The 18,979-nt window shown below is 37.0% G+C and overlaps 1 protein-coding gene across 6 annotated transcripts in view; it reads right to left on the bottom strand.

Annotated features, from left to right (window-relative positions):
• The window catches only part of FMN2 (formin 2), a 383,305-nt gene that overhangs the window by 165,041 nt on the left and 199,285 nt on the right, over positions 1 to 18,979 (bottom strand). For 5 of the 6 annotated variants that reach the window (NM_001305424.2, NM_020066.5, NM_001348094.2 and 2 more), the window contains one exon: positions 15,264 to 15,325. In NM_001305424.2, coding sequence (NP_001292353.1) covers positions 15,264 to 15,325 — 62 coding nt within the window. Of the gene's footprint in view, positions 1 to 15,238; positions 15,326 to 18,979 lie in introns of all 6 variants that reach the window. The other variant, XM_017001837.2, reaches the window with a different exon arrangement.

The following is an 18,979-nucleotide window of genomic DNA, read 5'->3' as shown; positions in this document are numbered from 1 at the left end:
GTTTATTTTTTCTAGATAAAATTCACATGTACCCTCAAATGTTATTATTAAACTATTAAGGCAAAATTAAGACTATTCAGCTATCTTTCAAACACTGTGTCAGACCTGAAGTTAATAATTACCATTACACCAACATGATAAAGTTGGAAAGATTTCCAAAGAGGACTCAAGCCAAGTCTAAGCCCGTGCATGTCACTTTTTGTTTCTAGAGACACTTTCATATGAGCATGACACCTACCATATTAAGTCACAAACACACGTGACTGTCATGCCAGATGAGACCATACCTCCTAAAACCTCAACCCTCCCTACCATCTGTGCCAGTTACTGCCTCTCATCCCTCAGTTTGCCTTCTAGAACTGAATCCGAGATAACGGACTGGACTCAGCAGCTCCCGGTCCCCCTTTACAGTGAATATGAGGTTATGCTTTGCCAGTAGGAGGTGATGGAGGGGCACTGCTAGAGGAAGGGGGTCCTCTTCCTGACTCTGGTATGCAGTTTGCCTTTTCTGCAGCACAATTGGTCAGCGGTGTGGGTGTATAATGACATCTGGGGGTGCTCTGCCACACCCCAGCAGCATACCCGGAGTGCAGAGCCCTTTGGCAACCTTGCAGTCCTGACCTAGACTCAGTGACCAGTTTGCCTCCAATGCAGACACCACGCACTGTGCACCTGCACCAGCCAAGGCTTGCCTGTGCCCTGAGGTTTGTTTCCTGGGCCCTCCCTACATAGATACTGTACACTCTGGGCTTCACGTTCACTGTAGCATCCTAACTCCTGCATGCCTGCCCACTAGCTAGAGTTCACCTGCCCCCAGAAGTGTGTTTTCTTGCTTGCCCAGAGACGTGACCAGCTATGGCCCAGGCAAACCAGTGGGCTGCAAACACACCTTCTCCAATGAAATCTGCACCCCAGTCTTAGAGAGGGGACCCCCTTCCAAGCTTATCCGAACTTGGGTATGCTTACTCATCCCTAGGGTGCTGTTAAAGTTATCACTATATTCTTGTACTCTTCCATCATAGGTTAATCATTCATTATAATAAACTCTTCTGCTTATATTAGTCTGTGGTTTATGTCCCAATTGAACCCATACTGTTAGACTTTCTAACACTCATACCCTCACTCTCCACCTTCTGCCTTGAGACTACTAGACCCCTGTGTCTGCATATCAATTATGAAGGAACAGACCACTCAAACCTAACATAACCACAGAATTCTCATTGCCCCATTTTCTACCAAGCTGCTTCCACTTATCAGCTAATGGCAATCCCTTCCTATTGCCCAGGCCAAAAATTGTGGGATCACTCTCAATTTCTTGTTTTCTCTCACAGTCCATACCCAGCCCGCTGGCAAATTCTACTGGCATATTCTTCAAAATAGTTCCAGAATCTGACCACTTCTCAGCAGCTCCACTGTGTACACTGAGGTCCAAGCCACTATCATCTCTTAACTGAGGTCCAAGCCACTATCATCTCTTAACTCTGAAAGGTCTCTGACACTCCACCTTGCTTCTCACAGTCTATTCCTAGTTGTCAGAACTTCTTACAGGGGTGTCCAAGGGACAGAATACAGTCGTGGGTTCTTAGTTTCTGTTTCTGGTTGGGCCAGTAAAGCCCCGTCCTCGTCCCTCTTTTCTGCTTATCACTAGACACGAAACTAAACACCATGGCTTCAGGCTGCTAAAAGCCTGAAACAAAACAAAACAGAATGACAACAACAAAATAAAGCGAGTTGGACAAGCTTTGAAACATGAATCCTCTAGCCAAAACTGTGTGTTAACTTCCCATTTTACTCAGAGAAAAAGTTCAAGTCTTACAAAGTTCTACAAGTCCCTAGAGGGGCTAGTCCCCACCAATTTATCTCTAAGTAACTTCTACAATGTTCCCCTCCCTTGTGCCATTTCAGCTGTGTGGGCTTCCAGCTGTTCCCTGAATATATCAGACTTGCTCACACTTCAGGCATGATATGGTCTCTTAGATTTACACATGGCTTCTCTTCCTCATCTCCCGCAATTCCTAGTTCAAATGTCATCTTTCAAATAACAACCATATTTAAAATTGTACCCACCATCCTGGGCAACATCCTTTCCCTCACATTGACTTTTTTTCTCTTTAACACAGAATATTTTAAAAACTATAATGTACCTAATAGCCACAATAATTAATTAATTAATTAAATACCTAGGAATACCAAGAAGGTGAATGATCTCTATAAGGAGAACTACAAAACACTGCTGAAAGAAATCATAGACGACACAAACAAATGGAAAAGCATTCCATGCTCATGGGTTGGAAGAATATCATTAAAATATCCATACTGCCTGAAGCAATCTACTGATTCAATGCTATTCCTATCAAATTACAAACATCATTTTTCACAGAATTAGGAAAAACTATTCTAAAATTCAAATGAAACAAAAAAGAGCCCCAATAGCCAAGGCAATCCTAAGTAAAAAGAACAAAGCCAGAGGCATCATATTACTGGGCTTCTAACTATACTTCAAGGCTACAGTTACCAAAACAGCATGGTACAAAAATAGACATACAGATCAATGGATCAGAACAGAGATCCTTGAAATAAAGTTGCATACCTACAACCAACTCATCTTTGACAAAGTTAGCAGAAATAAACAATGGAGAAAGGACACCCTGTTCAATCAATGGTGTTGTGAAAACTGGCTAACCATATGCAGAAGAATGAAACCGGACCACTACCTCTTACCACACATAAAAATTAACTCAAGATGCATTAAAAACTTAAAAGTAAGACCTCAAACTATAAAAACTCTGGGAGAAAAGCTAGGAAATACTCTTTTAGACATTGGTCTAGGCAAACATTTATGATGAAACCCTAAAAACAAATGCAACAAAACCAAAAATAGAGAAATGGCACAATTAAACCAAAGAGAGCTTCTGCACAACAGAAGAAACTCTTGACAAGAATAAACAGATAACCAACAGAATGGGAGAAAATATTTGCAAACTATGCATCTGACAAAGGACTAATATCCAGAATCTATAAGGGATTTAAATGAATCAACAAGAAAAAAGGAAACAACCTCATTAAAAAGTGGCAAAGGACAATAAAAGACATTTCTCAAAAGATGATAACAAGCAGCTAAACTTAAGAAAAAGTACTCAGCATGACTAAACACCAGAGAGATACAAATCAAAACCACAATGAGATGCCATCTCACACCAGTGAGAATGGCTATTACTAAAATGTCAAAAAATAACAGGTGTTACAGAGGTTGTGAAGACAAGGAAATGCTTATACACTGTTGGTGGGAATGCAAACTAGTCCAGCCACTGTGGACAGCAGTTTGGAGATTTCCCAATGAACTAAAAATAGAAATACCATTCAATCCAGCAATCCCATTAGTGGGTATATATTCAAAGGAAAATAAATCATTCTACCAAAAAGACACAGGCACTCGTATGTTCATCACAGCACTATTTGCAATAGCAAAGACGTGGAATAAACCTAGATGTCCATCAACAGTGGACTGGATAAAGAAAATGTGGTACATATACCCCACGGAATGCTACAACACCATGAAAAGAATGAAGTCATGTTCTTTGCAGAAACATGGATGCAGCTAGAGACTGTTATTCCATATGCAGAAACATATCACATGTTCTCACTTACAAGTAGGAGTTAAATTTTGGGTTCACATAAAGATGGGAACACTAGAAACTGGGGACTCCAAAAGGAGGGAGGGAGAGGAACAAGGGCTGAAACATGTCCTGTTGGATACTATGTTCAGCTTCTGGGTTATGGGATTAACGGAAGCCCAAACCTCAGCCCCACTCAATATGCCCTTGTAACAAACCTGCACATGTATCCCTTGAATCTAAAATTAAAATGGATTTTAAAAAAAGAAAATAAAAACTATAAGCAGCCGGGTGCGGTGGCTCACGCCTGTAATCCCAGCACTTTGGGAAGCCGAGGTGGGTGGACCATGAGGTCAGGAGTCCGAGACCAGCCTGGCCAACATAGTGAAACACCATCTCTACTAAAAATACAAAAATTAGCTGGGCATGGTGGTACATGCCTGTAATCCCAGCTACTCAGGAGGTTGAGGCAGGAGAATCACTTGAACCCAGGAGGTGGAGGTTGCAGTGAGCCGAGATCACGTCACCGCACTCCAGCCTGGGTGACAGAGCAAGATTTCACCTCAAAAAAAAAAAAAAAACTTACAAGCATATCTAGTCTAGAAAACTGTATGACTAATGACTTTAAAACAATTATGCTGACCTTATAATGGTTTATATCCTATTACAATAATGATGCTACACTACTAAGATGACCTTTTCATGTAATAATTCTTATGACAAGAAGTATAAGTGGAAGAGATACATAAAAGGGATATACATGTAATTATTTGGTAATAAGTAAAATAGTAACTATGTTAAATTAAAAATACACAATAGACACATTCCTTGGCATTATACAATAGCTACGTTTCTGCAAGTCTGGATTTATTTAGACTGCACTATAGTAGCATTTTCCAAACCACGTAATACTATTGTTTTCACTAGATTAATAATTTAATTGAAGGAAGAATATAGTTTAAAATGTCCTCCACTTGGAAACTACCACTTTATTAGGCATACATTATGGCTCTGCACAGTTTTATTTTTAACTTTAACTTATTTGATTAACTTATTTTTAACCTGTTTGATTATGCAACATGTTTTTTACTATAGACTACAAAACAATAGTGTTTCACTGAACCCAGTTTGAAAAACACAATACTGGGAAACGCATGCTTTCAAAAATGAATGAGTTTCTTTCTCAGCAAAACCTAGATTGAATATATCTTGTATTACAGAGAGTAATAAGCTCATTTAAATGTTAAATGAAAAGAAATGATTAAATACAGTTACACAGACTATGTTGTCCAAGATACAAAATTATCCAATGTGCCAAAATAGAGGAAAATCTGACTAAATCTCAAAGGAAAATACAATCAACAGATGCCAACCTCAAGATGACCCAGATGTTCATATTATCAGACAACGTCTTTAGAAAAGCAGCTATTATAACTATGCTCCATGATATGAACAAAAATATATTAAGAATGAATGAAAAAATTAGAAACCCCAGAAAGGATTCTGGGAAGATAGCAGAGTAGAAAGTGCCAGGGATCTATTTCCCCATCTAGACAATTGTACTAGCAGAATCTGTTGGAAACTTTGGGGTCTACTGTTGGTCTTACAACTTCCAAAGAAAGGCTTGGAGCTTAAATTACAGTTAATTTTAGTCAATGTCAGCTCTTAGCAGATCAGCAGCTACCTATCCCCCACTCCCGGCCCTGTGGCAGGCAGCTGTGCACGCGCTTCTGGAGCAACCTGCACACAGCCTGCAGGAGCCAAAGTGAGCCAACCTCCCAATGTCCTCACCTTCCAAATATAAAGGATCTGTGCTCTGATCCCTGATTACTGCTTCTGATCACTCAGGTGCAAACAAAGAAGCAGGAGGCCATTGTTGAGCCTCTGTCCCCCCACTGTAGTTGCCCCTCCTTATCTGGTTGAAGTGACAGCTGGGGGATTAAACGGCCAGAGCCCTCTTTTTTCCATGATTCCTTTTAATCTTTCCCACCTTTTGGGAGCCAGACATTAAAGATTAGGACATTTAAAAGCAACTGTATATATATCGGGAAAATTAGAAAGTGACCACTTGTGCCCAGGGAAAGGTGCAGGCTGAAAAATGCCCTGAGAAGACCTTAAGTTTACACTTCAGGCTTATCCTTGGCACAAAGATAAACTACAAAAATCAAAAAACAACAAATAAAAACAATTAATAAAAACCCAGCAAACCCTTGGGAAGAGGGAGAATGTGATTTCCAGAATTACATTGTTAAATTCAAATGTCCACTTTTCAAAATAAAAAAGAAAGAAAATCACAAGACATACAAAGAAACAAAAGTATGCACCATTCAAAGGATAAAGATAAATCAATACAAATTATCCCTGAAAAAGACCTGATGGCAGAGTAAAGACAAAGGCTTTTTAAATTTTGTTTTAAATATGCTCAAAGAACTAAAGAAAGCAAGCCAAGAAAACAATGTACAGACAAAATGGCAATATTAATAAAGAGATAGAAAACCTGAAAATAAATCAAAAAGAAGGTGAAAAATACAATAACTGAAAAGAACTGAAAAATACAATAACTAACATAAAATAATGCACAAAGAGAATTTAAAGACGGATTTGAGGAAGCAAAAGAATGAATCCATGAACTTGAAGATGGATCAGAAAGTATCAACTCTAAAGAACAGAAAAAGAAAAATGGAAGAAAAGTGAAGACAGCCTCAGGAAGCCGTGAAACACCACCAAGCAGACCAAATATGCATTATGGAAGTCCTAGAAGAAAAAGAGAGAAAGGAACAGAGAGGATATTTTTAAAAAATAATGGCTGAAAACTTGTCCAATTTGATGAAAGATGTGAACATAAACATCCAAGAAGCTTAATGAACTCAAAATGATGTTAATCCAAAGAGCCCTACATCGAGATACATTATAAACAAACTTTTGAAAGACAAAGTCAAAGAGAGAATATTAACACTAGCAAGAAAGAAGTAACTGGTCACACACAAGAAATGCTCAATAAGAATCTCTGCAGATTTCTTGTCACAAATTTGGGAGACCAGAAGGCAGTGGTCTGATATATTCAAAGTACTGAAACAAAATAAAGTTTCAACCAATAATTCTATATCCAGTAAAACTATCCTTTGACTATGAGGGAAAAATTATGACATTCCAGATATACTAAAGCTGGAAAAGTTTATTATCACTCGATCTGTACCACAAGAAATGCTCAAGGGAGTCCTGCAGGATGAAATGACAGGACACTAGACCATAACTCAAAGCTGTATGAAGAAATACAGATGTGAGCACGTCAGCTACTTTAACTATTATAATCAGTCTCTCTCACTTGACGAAGACAAAGCAAATTCTCTTTGTGATCAAGAAAAACCAAGGTCCCCAAAGATCATCTGAGGCAGGAGAGCGCAGCCTCAGGGTACAAAAGGCTCAGTTACTTTCCTGGAATAAGAAGGGAAATATACTTCTTTTTACTTAATTTTCTGATTTTTTTTTTTTAGTCATAGAGACAATAACAAAAACAAATATCTTGCTCTACATAGAAATTATCTTTCTATATTATTGTATAATGGTAATATAACCCTATTTTTATTTTCACTATATTTATATCCATATAGGGCATAAAAATGTATGGGAAAAGTGTCAGCTAACATTTTTATGTGAAAGAAATTAAACTTTAGTAGCTTGAAACTCTAATTATTAATTTTCATAATCTTTTGGCCTAGGTTGATTTGTCTGATAGTTATACTTAGATATCAGGCAAATCTGACTAGACCCAAGTGTTGGACCCATTAATGTGTCTGATGGTTGGAAAACTGGTTTTGAAAGAGTTTCTCTAGAATGTATGACTAAGGGTGTAATTACTGGACTAATTATATTAGATATTGCAAATTGCTTCCCATTGAGATTATACCAAATTATATTAATATAGTATATAATAGTTACTAATTTTTCAAATGCTCTTCAACATTTGATACTGTCAAACTTTTTCACTGGAGATGAAGAAGTATCTTACTGATGTCTTATTTCCATTTTCTTGCTTTCTATTGAGAATACACACTTTTTCTTGTATTTATTGGACATACCAGTTTACTTTTTTTGAGTTGCCTTGTTATCTCTTTTATTCATTTTTCTTTGGACTTGTCCCTTGATAAGTGTAAGAATTTTTCAATATTCTGGGTCCCGATTTTCTGAGGGCCCAGGTATTGCAAATTTCTTTTTCTAGCTTCTGGTTTATCTTTTAAATGTGTGTAGGTGCCTTTTAAAAAACTGAACATAACTATTCAATTTGTAACAAAAATTATCAATGTTAACAAAGATAAGGAGTCTCAAAAAAAGAACTATTAATGAAAATTCTAGGAAAATTATAGCATTAGAAATAAAATGTTTTCATTTGAGAGGTTGAATAAAAGAATAAAGACAGCAAAAGAAAGAATCAGTGAAAGTACACAATATGATGAACAGAAAGAAAAAAATGATGGAAAATCTAATGAACAGAATCTCAGGGACTTGTGAAAAAGTACTCAAGATGTAACATGTATGTCATTAGTAAGCCAGAGAGGAGAGAAACTGGGAGAACAGAGTACAAAAGAATAGTTTCAGGTTGAAGGACGAGAGATGGAAACTGTCAAATGTGGTGAAAAATCACAATTATAATCAGGAAGTCCATCAAACTCAATCAGAATACAAGAAAACCATGCCTACTTATATTACAATAAAACTGATTAAAACCCAATAAAAAGAAAAACCTAAAGGCAGTAGAAGGGGAAAAAAATGACAATTTATGTATTAATACAAAGTAACAATGATGGCAGACTTATCATCAGAGACAAGGTAGATCGGAGGTAATTGGGATATCTTTATTATGCTGAAAGAAAAAAACTGTCAACCCAGACTTCTATATCCAATTTTAAAATGTCCTTCAAAAAAAAGGAAGGTGAGATAAAAAAAATTCTAAGATGAAAGAAAATTAAGAAAATTCATCACTGAAAAGATGTGTTTTCAAAATACACTACAGATACTTCCTTAGGCTAAAGAAAAACGATATAAAATGATACTGGAGGGAAACTTGGTCTTAACAAAGGAAGAGCTTCAGAAATGGGGGAAATGTAGCTAAATATAAAAAAACTATATTTAAATATGTTTAATTATTTAAAAATACAATCACATACAGATGCTACTCACGTCACAACAAAATAAGTTAAATGGAGCAGGAGAGGCAGCAAAAAGCCCTATATGGAGTCAAGGTTTCTATATTTTATATGAAAATTCTATCTAAGTAGAGTATAAAAGGTTAGGAATATACATTGTGATTCCTAGCATAACTGAAAAATATGTGACACAAAGAGGTGAAGCTAAAAAAAAAAAATAGAAATAAAAGTTAAAACAAAACAGCAAAAAATACCATGTAAATAATAAGGTAGGAAAGAAGAATTAGAGGGACAAAAAATGACAGACCTAAATCCAACTATAACAACAATTACAATAAATGTTGACAATCTAAATGCTCCAAGAAAGTAAAGATTATCACAATGAATAAAAAACACAGACCCAAATGCATGCTGTCTATGAGAGATGCAATTCAAACACAGAGACACAGGGAAGTTGAAAGTACACAGATGGAGTTGGAAAAAAAAAAAACATGCACACAGTAAGTATCAAAAGAATAGAATAGCTATTTAAATATCAGTTTAAAAAAACGTCAAGACAAAGAGTATTACTAAACTGAAGAAGAATATTTCATACTGATAAAAAGCAACATCCAAGAGAAAAAACGATTCCAAATATGCATGTGCCTAATATACTACCTAGCACTGATCTTAGCAAACTGCATGACAGTTAGTTAGCTTTCTAGAAATAGTTTTCAATGAAAGAAACAATGAGTAAAAGAAGGTAAGTTATATATGTCTCTTTATTTTGTTTTCATTTCGGTTTGATGGGCATCTGAGCATGCTATAACAAAGGAGAGATAGGAGAAAGAAACTAGTACAAAGTGAGAAGAGCTCTTTGATTGGAACATCAGAGGGGGGTACAAAGATTGTCATAGAATTTTTTAGACAAAGAGAAAACAGTAGTGACAAATGAGGAAACAATGGTAAATACAAATCAGATGGCTTAATGTTCCTATATTTGTAAGTTGGGAATCTAGGAAAATGCATGGAAAAGAAGCTGGCATCACATGTTGCCTAAACGTTCTACCATGCTGAGCTCCCGTTTCAAAGGGTTCATTCATTCAACAGTCATTTAATGGGATTAAATAGCATAGAGATCATATGAAACTTCTATTATAGTTACACTGGGTTCCTAGCCTTCCCTTACCTGATACAGCATGAATGAAAAGAGGTAGTTAGAATCCCAGTCCCCTTAGTAATAGCAACCATATTGGTTTCATGCAGTTGGAACTACAACTTCTGGTATACCCTTGTGTGATTTGGGGTGATAGAGGAGGGATGGAACATGTAAGCACATATTCATGTCACATGGAGATGAAATAGTGGCCTATTTTAATCTAGCTATTACATAGCTGTAAAGTTTGGGGAGAGTCTGCAGGAAGTAGGAAGGCCTCCAGCCAAGGTACACCACAAATGTGCCTTCATACAGCGCGCCACCTTATTCCTACTAGTCTTGCGTAAAAATGCAGTCTATTAGCAACTGAAAACATGGAAAAACTTGTTCCGCTTTGTGCACCAAAAAATAAACTACTACTAGTTCTGTAATCTTAGGTCCATCTTGGGTTCATCGCAGTATGCATTATCTAGTATAAACTGAGAAAAGGAAGCTCAAGCTTCTTTTCAGTCCAGCGGACACTCAAAAGATCTAAGGTAACATGGGAAATGGAAAGAGCTTCCTTAGCAATTCCAGGGGCTCCTGAGGCAATCACGTCTGAAATTACATCAACAAGAAGGAAGCAAATCTACTCAGTTTGCCCTAAAATAGAATGTCACCGTTTGAATTTAAACCATTGTTTGAAAAATTACACATAACGGGATCAGATTATTGCTGGGATAGCAATGGTTAGCTTTATCCATGGTAAAGGTATCACTTCTGAGTCTCTGCAGAAATATTTCTGAAATTACCTTATTTTTAAGAAAGCCAGATTTCCTTTTATACTGATGTTTAAAAAAAGCAGAGCATTTGAAATGTAAATAATGACATTAACCATTTTCATTTCTGTCAATTATAAAATAATACCAAAAGGAAAACATTACTATTCTCAGGTCATTGTTTAAGTAGTAATTATTATGAATATTTTATACAAACCATATTGTTCAATATGGAATATAAAAACTCAGGCCATGTGTGGTGGCTCACGCCTGTAATCCCAGCACTTTGTAAGGTCGAGGCGGGTGGATCACCTGAGGTCAGGAGTTCGAGACCAGCCTAGCCAACATGGCAAAACCCAGTCTCTCCTAAAAATACAAAAATTAGCCCGGTGTGGCGGTGGGTGCCTGTAATCCCAGCTACCCTGGAAGCTGGGGTAGGAGAACTTGAACCTGGGAGGCAGAGGTTGCAGTGGGCCAAGACTGCGCCACTGCACTCCAGCTTGGGTGACAGAGTGAGACTCCACCTCAAAAAAAAAAAATTCAACTAATAAGGAATTTGTAGTTAAGTGAGAAGATAAGACATATGCATACATAAAGATAACATAAAGCAAAAAGTGGAAAATTCCCAGGAAAGGAAGAAAGGAGTACTATAAGATTTCAACAATGTCTTACATAGACAGCAGCGGTCCCCAACCTTTTTGGCACCAGGGACCAGTTTTGTGGAAGACAATTCTTCCACAGACCTGGCATTATGGGGATGGTTTGGTGATGAAATTGTTCTACCTCAGATCATCAGGCATTAGGTTCTCATAAAGAGCAGGCAACCTAGATCCCGTGCATACGCAGTTCACAAAAGGGTTTGTACTCCTAGCTCCTATGATAAGCTAATGCCACCACAGATCCAACAGGAAGTGGAGCTCAGGCAGTAATGCTTGCTCACCAGTGGCTCACCTTCTGCTGTGTGGCCCAGTTCCTAACAGGCCACAGAATGGTACTGGTCCTTGGCCTGAGGGTTGAGGACCCCTGATATACAGGACGTTTAGGGAAGAACTGTTCCAAATACTACTTAACTCTAGGTTCTGGAGCTATTGCTGTGGATAAAACAACTATTTTTGCCTTCCCAAGACTTATTTTTTAATAGATATTAATCAGGAATTTGCATATATGTATTATTGGCATATAAAATACGCACAATGACCTGTTATTGTTCATAACGGATCCTTCAAGTTCCTGTACTGCAGAGGGCTAACCTGGTACTACCTAAACTAATAATTGTGAATCACCCTCTCACAAAATAATTGTTTTCCTGAAACAATGAAAGTCTGAACCTTAAAGTTTGAGAACAGCAGCAATAAAAATTGTAATTAAGTTTAACCAGTGCCAGCTAGTATACTATACGCTGAATGTTTACGCCCCACCCTCAGTTCCATAGGTTGAAACCTTATCCCCAGGATGATGGTATCAAGGTAGGGCCTTTTGGAAGCAATTAGGCCATGAGAGCAGAGCCCTCTTGAATGAGATCAGTGCCCTTGTAGAAGAGACCCCAAGCAGCTCCCTTGTCCCTTCTACCATGTGAGGTTACAGCAAGAACACCGCAGTCTGTGAACCTGGAAGAGGGCCCTCACCAGATCCCAAATCTGCCAGTGCCTTCATCTTGGAAATCTCAGTCTCCAAAACTGGGAGAAATAACACTTCATAAGCCATTTAGGCTATGGTATTCTATTATAGCAGCCCAAACAGACTAAGACACAGTACTTTTTCTACTTTCATGAAGTAAGATAAGATTCTGGGTAGCTATCCAGTTTGTCCTGAGTCATAAATTTATATTTTGTGAAATTACTTTACTTTGAAAGGCTAAACACTCCCAAATAAAATATTCTTTTTTTTTTTTTTTTTTTTTTGAGATGGAGTCTCACTCTGTCACCAGGCTGGAGTGCAGTGATGCAATCTCGGCTCACAGCAACCTCCGCCTCCCAGATTCAAGTAATTCTCCTGCCTTAGCCTCCCGAGTAGCTGGGATTACACGTGCCCGGGCCACCATGCCTGGCTTATGTTTGTATTTTTAGTAGAGACGGGGTTTCACCATGTTGGCCAGGCTGTTCTCGAACTCCCGACCTCGTGATCCTCCCGCCTTGGCCTCCCAAAGTGCTAGGATTACAGGCATGAGCCACCACACCCAGCCCAAATAAAATATTCTAAACCATCATAAAATAAACATTCAATGTTCTGTATTTTCTGGGTATATTTCTACACATAAATACATCAAGTGTAAATAAGACATTCATTCCTAGATACACATACACACATATAGATACACACACACACCATGTATACACCAAATGTATATATGTAATATATATGTGCAAGATAGATAGATACACACACACCAACATCTTAAATCATTATGACCTGCTGAAGAAATTACTTTCCTCTAGTATTTCCTCCTTTCTTCCATATGGCCCTCCTGGTTGGAAGAGGGTTAGTATGAAAGACTCAAGAGAAATGAAAACTCTCTGTACCTCCCAATGGTTATATTTTAAATACCAATTTCATTGGAATGTGAATATACTAAACACACGATTTACTTTTTCCAGTTTTCCCTTTGCATAGTGACAACTGTATAATAAATCACTGAAAGCTTCCCTCTCAATCTTTGTTTCTGACTCAGTTTCACTGAATGCTTATGCTCACCATGCTTAATGGGTACCAATTCTACACTTGGCCCACAGATTCTGTACAATGCACCATGAGACATATTTTGTCTTACATCGGTCTCAATCTCACAGATGAGACCACCATATAACATATGTTAAAAAAAAAAAACCAAACTCAAGAGTGGATGAGCAGGTTGAATACACAGTCCTCAAGGGAGTGATCAAGGAACAGAGTCTGCATCCTGCCCACCACATGGGTCTCCCCAGAGCCAAGAATTATTTGACTTGAGACAGAAAAGTTAAGGACCAACTAAGGCCATGCCCCAAAGAGCAGAGGCTTAAATACCAGGCAGATCAAAGGCAAGAACAGAAATAAAGTAAAAAAAAAAAAAAAAAAAAAAAAGCACTCAAAGATATTAGACCCAAAATAGGACCACACTGAGACTTTACCTTAAATATAATCAAAAGCACTGAAAACAACCTGCTTTATTACTACTTGAATCAATATTATTTAATGTCACATTCTAGCTAAAGACATCTCTCATATCACACTTCCCAATAGCACTGACTATATCGTGCTATGGTTATTCTCCTTCAATACCTTACTCCCTTTCTCTACCACCTTTGTTAAAAAAAAAAAAAAAAAAAGTACTACATAACAAAAGCTAAATGTCCTGCCACCTAGTGAAATAAACTGTAGCAGTATAGAGAAACAGGCAGAATGAACTAAACCCCAGCTATATCACAACACTAGCTATGTGACCCTGAGTAAGTCATCTAACCTCTCTAACTTTCCTCATGTAAAACAGGGGTGATAATAATAGCATTTGATCACAGTTCATCAGAGAAATGCAAATCAAAACCACAGTGAGCTATGACTTCACATCTGTTGGCAAGGCTATTAGGAGAGAGATAACAGGTGTTGGTGAAGATGCGAAGAAAAGGGAACCCTGGCACACTGTCGATGGGAATGTAAATTGGTACAGCCATAATAGAAAGCAGTGTAGGTGTTGCTCAAAATATTAAAGACAGAACTACCATATGATCCAGCAATTCTACTTCTGGGAATACATCCAAAGGAAATGAAAAGTATGTTGAAGAGATATCTGTACTTTCATGTTCACTGCAGCACTACTCATAAGAGACAAGATATAAAACCAACCAGTGTCCATCAACAGATGAATGGATAAAGAAAATGTGGTACATATACACCATGGAATATTATTCACCCATAAAAAAGAAAGCAATCCTGCCATTTGCAACATCATGGATGAACCTGGAGGGCATAATGCTAAGTGAAATAAGCTAGACACAGAAAGACAAATAAGGAATCTAAAAAACTTGAACTCATAGAAACAGAAAGCATAACGGTGGTTGCCCAGGGGTGGGAGGTAGGAAAATAGGGAGATATTGGTCAAAAGGTACAAACTTTCAGTTATAAGATGAATAACTTCTAGAGATCTTATATATAAGTGTGGGTGGTGATGGATGTGTTAATCTGATTGTGGTAATCAATGTGTATATCAACTCAGCATGAATATGTTCAATACATACACCTGGAATGAATGTATTCAATCTTTTTCAGTTACATATTTTAAAATTTTAAGTGTGTGTGAGTGTGTGTGTGTGTGTGTGTGTGTGTGTGTGTGTGTATGAAGTGCACAGAACAATGCTTGGCTCAAGTTAGCCCCCACATCAGTACTATTATTTAAATTTAAAAAAATAATGAATGACCTCATATGCAATATGATTTGATTCACAATTTTTCAAACCATGAGACCACACATTTGTTTGATATGTTCCTAGAAAGTATTGTAACAAACACCTACTTAGGCAAATTCACTACACTCGGATCAAATTTCTTTAGAGGACCTTAAAACAAAGAGCCTATATGTGCACATAGACATGTACTGTGTACATATTATATACTCACACATAAAATTCCTTCTATTACTCACATTCTCATAGAGAGCTTGAAGGGTCTCCAGGTCAACCACAGAATTATCCAAGTTCACAACAGCTGTGGAAAAAAAAGAAGAATATAAATTGCCATAAGCCACCTGTGAAAAGATGTTTGACCATCTCAGGCAGCAGGCTCACGGCTCAGCAGCCAGAGGGAGCAGGGGCTTTAACTTCAATGTTTCCCCTTGCCCCCACTGCAAAGCCTGCACCAGGAATTTCGCTGGGCCAGGTGTCAAGTGTTAAAGCTTTCACTTGCTCCGCAAATACTAAATCCCATGAAAATGGCCCAGGCAAAGGTCAGAGAGAAACTGTGAGGTCTGTTTTTCACAGCCGAACTGAATGAATTTGAAAAATCTGCTTCATACCAGCAAAATAAGCAAATCACTCCAGTGAATGCTACATCCCAGTTTTATATCAATAAATGCTTAAATTCACCAGTATATCTAGGACCTTTGACAAAGGTGAAATTTAATCATTAAACAGATGGACTTAGTATAAAAATGATGGGGGCATTTCCTATTATAATTCCTCAAAATATTATAATCAAAGGATGAATCTTTTATATTGGTAGTGGTATTAGCACAGATCCTACCTTAAAAATCCATCCTTCAAATATATACTACCCATGGTTATACAAGGAAGAAGCAGGATAGATAATAGAAAAATCAGCAATATTTTCTTTACGCATTTGTTGCCTGGGGAAATTTGTATTGTATTTTGGAGTAGGTGTGCTTTATTACTTGCTTTAGGCATAGGTTAATACAAATCATTCTGTGTTTTCTACATGGATATTTGGTAGAAACAAGGTGAATTTGCCTTGATAGAATTTGTGCCAAGTAGCCAGTGAAGCTCTTGGGGAGTTAAAAATTTCCGGGACAAAAATCACCAAGTGAATAATCACAAACTGGATATATTTATTTTGATAAGAGGCATTTTACAATGTCTCTTCTCTCAAAGTTTCACATGAGACATTTTCTAGTTGACTCTGGCAAAATCCCAAGAAAGAATTTAAAAAGACAAGTGGGAAATCGAAGCACAGGATGGATAAGAAATCTAAACAAGGTAATTTAGCATTTGTATTTGGAGCTGGGAAGGGAGCCCAGATTCACCAAAAAATATTGTACCAAGTAGAATATGATACTTCCACCCTAATAATAATCCACTATCTCAATTTCCAAAAAAATTAGGTGTGAAATACATATCTAAGAGTAAGAGTCTCAGACAAATCTTATTCATTAGACCATATAAGGCAAAAATATCGTGAACTTTAATGTTTCAAAGTAGTAAAGGCACAGTCCAAATACCTTTGACTATATTTCAAAAATTAATTAAAAAGGATTAGCTAATAATTTTGCTGTGATAATATGTAAGAAAAGGCACAAAACCCAAGTAAAAACAGTAAATTTATGTATGGAATTATCTTCTTTCAATTTGTGCAGAGTCTAGCTCTTCAAGAATATCTTACAGTGAATCCAAAGGTTTCTGATTTTGGAATTCATCAGCTAGCTAATAATCCAGTAATTCTCTACATGATAAGAAAACTATAAAGGAAATGCAAGGGGTCAACTTGGTGTCAGATTTCATCCCCAGAACAAGGCAAAGAAACACAATAAAATCATTCATGATCAATTCAAAGCTCATAAAGTACACAGTTGTCCTTTGACTTTATCCATCATTTTAAACCATACTATTATACCCACAAGTTTTCCCCACATAAAACTTGTGAATATCCTGAGGTTTCTCATCTTTCTATCTCATGCAATGTCATATACATGAGATCGAAAGAATATTCTTAATAATGAATATCTTAATACATGTTATGTGCTCCTAAACAAGTTCTCAAAGGGTCCTAACCCATGAAATCTCATTTTTTACTCATCCACAGAAAATCTCACTGGAAAGCAGCACTGTTACTGTTTCTCCATATAACTTCCCCCTAGTTGACCTGAGAGAAATTAACACAATTCAAATGGGAACGAGCAGTTTTCAGGGCAAAATCTAATCATGCTTTTGTAGCCAAAAAGAAAGAAAGATTAAATACTGACAGATGAATGGATGCAGTGATAGAAATTCTAGACAGGAAATAAAGGTAAAAGAAGCAATTTGGGAAAGATTACAATTATCGAAGTGCCATACTTCCTCCCCAGTTTAAAAAGCATATGCTAACATTTCAGAAATCAGGACTTAGATCAAAATGTCTATGTTACTAGACGTTTAGTAGCATCTTCCATTTCTCCCTTCCTTAAAATCTGTGATTTGGTCAATGGTACATTTTCAATGGATGGAATTCTAAAATCAAGGAAATAAGCATTCCCAAATGTATTCAACAAATGTGAGGTGTTTCCTATACATCAGGGATTACACTAGTATACTAGAAGTGTTAACAGTTACTTGAGTAATAATGATTTGAAGTTGGAGCTATTTGGGTGGGAATATGCTGAATAGCCCAGCCTTGAAAGTCTGCAGACAACTGGTAATGCACAGAGAAGAGAATACCATGATCAGAGTTCTAGATCATGCTAAGAATGACTGAATGCATTTTTTATTTTTTACTTATTTACTTATGTACTTACCTACTTACTTATTTATGTATTTATTTATTTCGGTGGCAAAAAGATTCAAAGAAAAAACTCCTCAGAAATTTCTTGGTTCCAAGTCCAAAATTTCAGCCTTGTTTCGGAGGAAAGAACCTGAGTATTGAAATTATATCAAGGTGACAGTTCCTCCAAAGGGAATATTATTTTTACAAGATGCTGTTTCCTGATGTGGAACAAACATAGAACATGGAATCGAACTAAACTAAGTTTAAATTTAAATTTTTATTTGCTGCTGCATTACTTCAAGTAAGTTACTTTTTATAAGTTTCAGTTCCTTTATGGGGCAGGGGCAAGGAAATAATGGAAAATATTAGCCAAGTTTTGGTTTGGGGTTTTTGTGGGGCTTAGAGGCAATAACAAGTAAAAGGGTCTGACATGTAGTTGGTTAATGTTACCTCCCCATGCCAACTTTTCACATAAATTCAACTATTAGAACATCCTTCCTGCTCAAGTGAGCCTTGCTATGAAGCCCAAGGTTAAACGAGTTGACTTTTTTTCAATTTGTGTTTTAGCTTCCCCGTGTATCCAAAAAAAAGAAAAACAAAAAATCCATTCCAACTGCATCTACTGAGGGATGGAACCTTTACCTGAATGATAAACCATTAGAGTGAAACAAGAGAGCCTGGTACAGAACTACCTGGGCTTCTTCATTATACTCTGTCTTGTTTATTAGCATTTAAATGATTAAGCAGAAGACTAGATTTCAGATAAATCCAAAATTTAAAAGAATATTCAGTGATAAATGTTTAGTTCAGATTACTTTATTCTCTAATATTCAGCAAGGTGTTAATGTGATTACATTTCAGATTGGAGGTCAGATATCTCACACTCATTTCCTCCTTGCTGCTTTAAGATGCTGAGTAACACCCATCCTTGTCTGCGACTCTTTACAATTCCCACCCCCACCCACCCCCTGCAGGTCTACAATGCAGTTTTAATCACTTTCTCAAAAATATATATAAATCAATTTAACCAGGAAGCATCTGTTCTGTTTTTATGTGAGTGGGTTCAAGGAGAAAGGTGTTGAGAGGAACTATAGACCTTTTTTGCACATTAAAAGATTATTCACTTATTTGTCAAATATGCTACATTTCCAGGATTAAAACAACGGAGAT

Source organism: Homo sapiens, chromosome 1, assembly GCF_000001405.40.
Source record: "Homo sapiens chromosome 1, GRCh38.p14 Primary Assembly".
Taxonomy (NCBI): domain Eukaryota; kingdom Metazoa; phylum Chordata; class Mammalia; order Primates; family Hominidae; genus Homo; species Homo sapiens.
The sequence above is the reverse complement of the archived record's forward strand: the minus strand, read 5'-3'. Positions and strand labels throughout refer to the sequence as shown.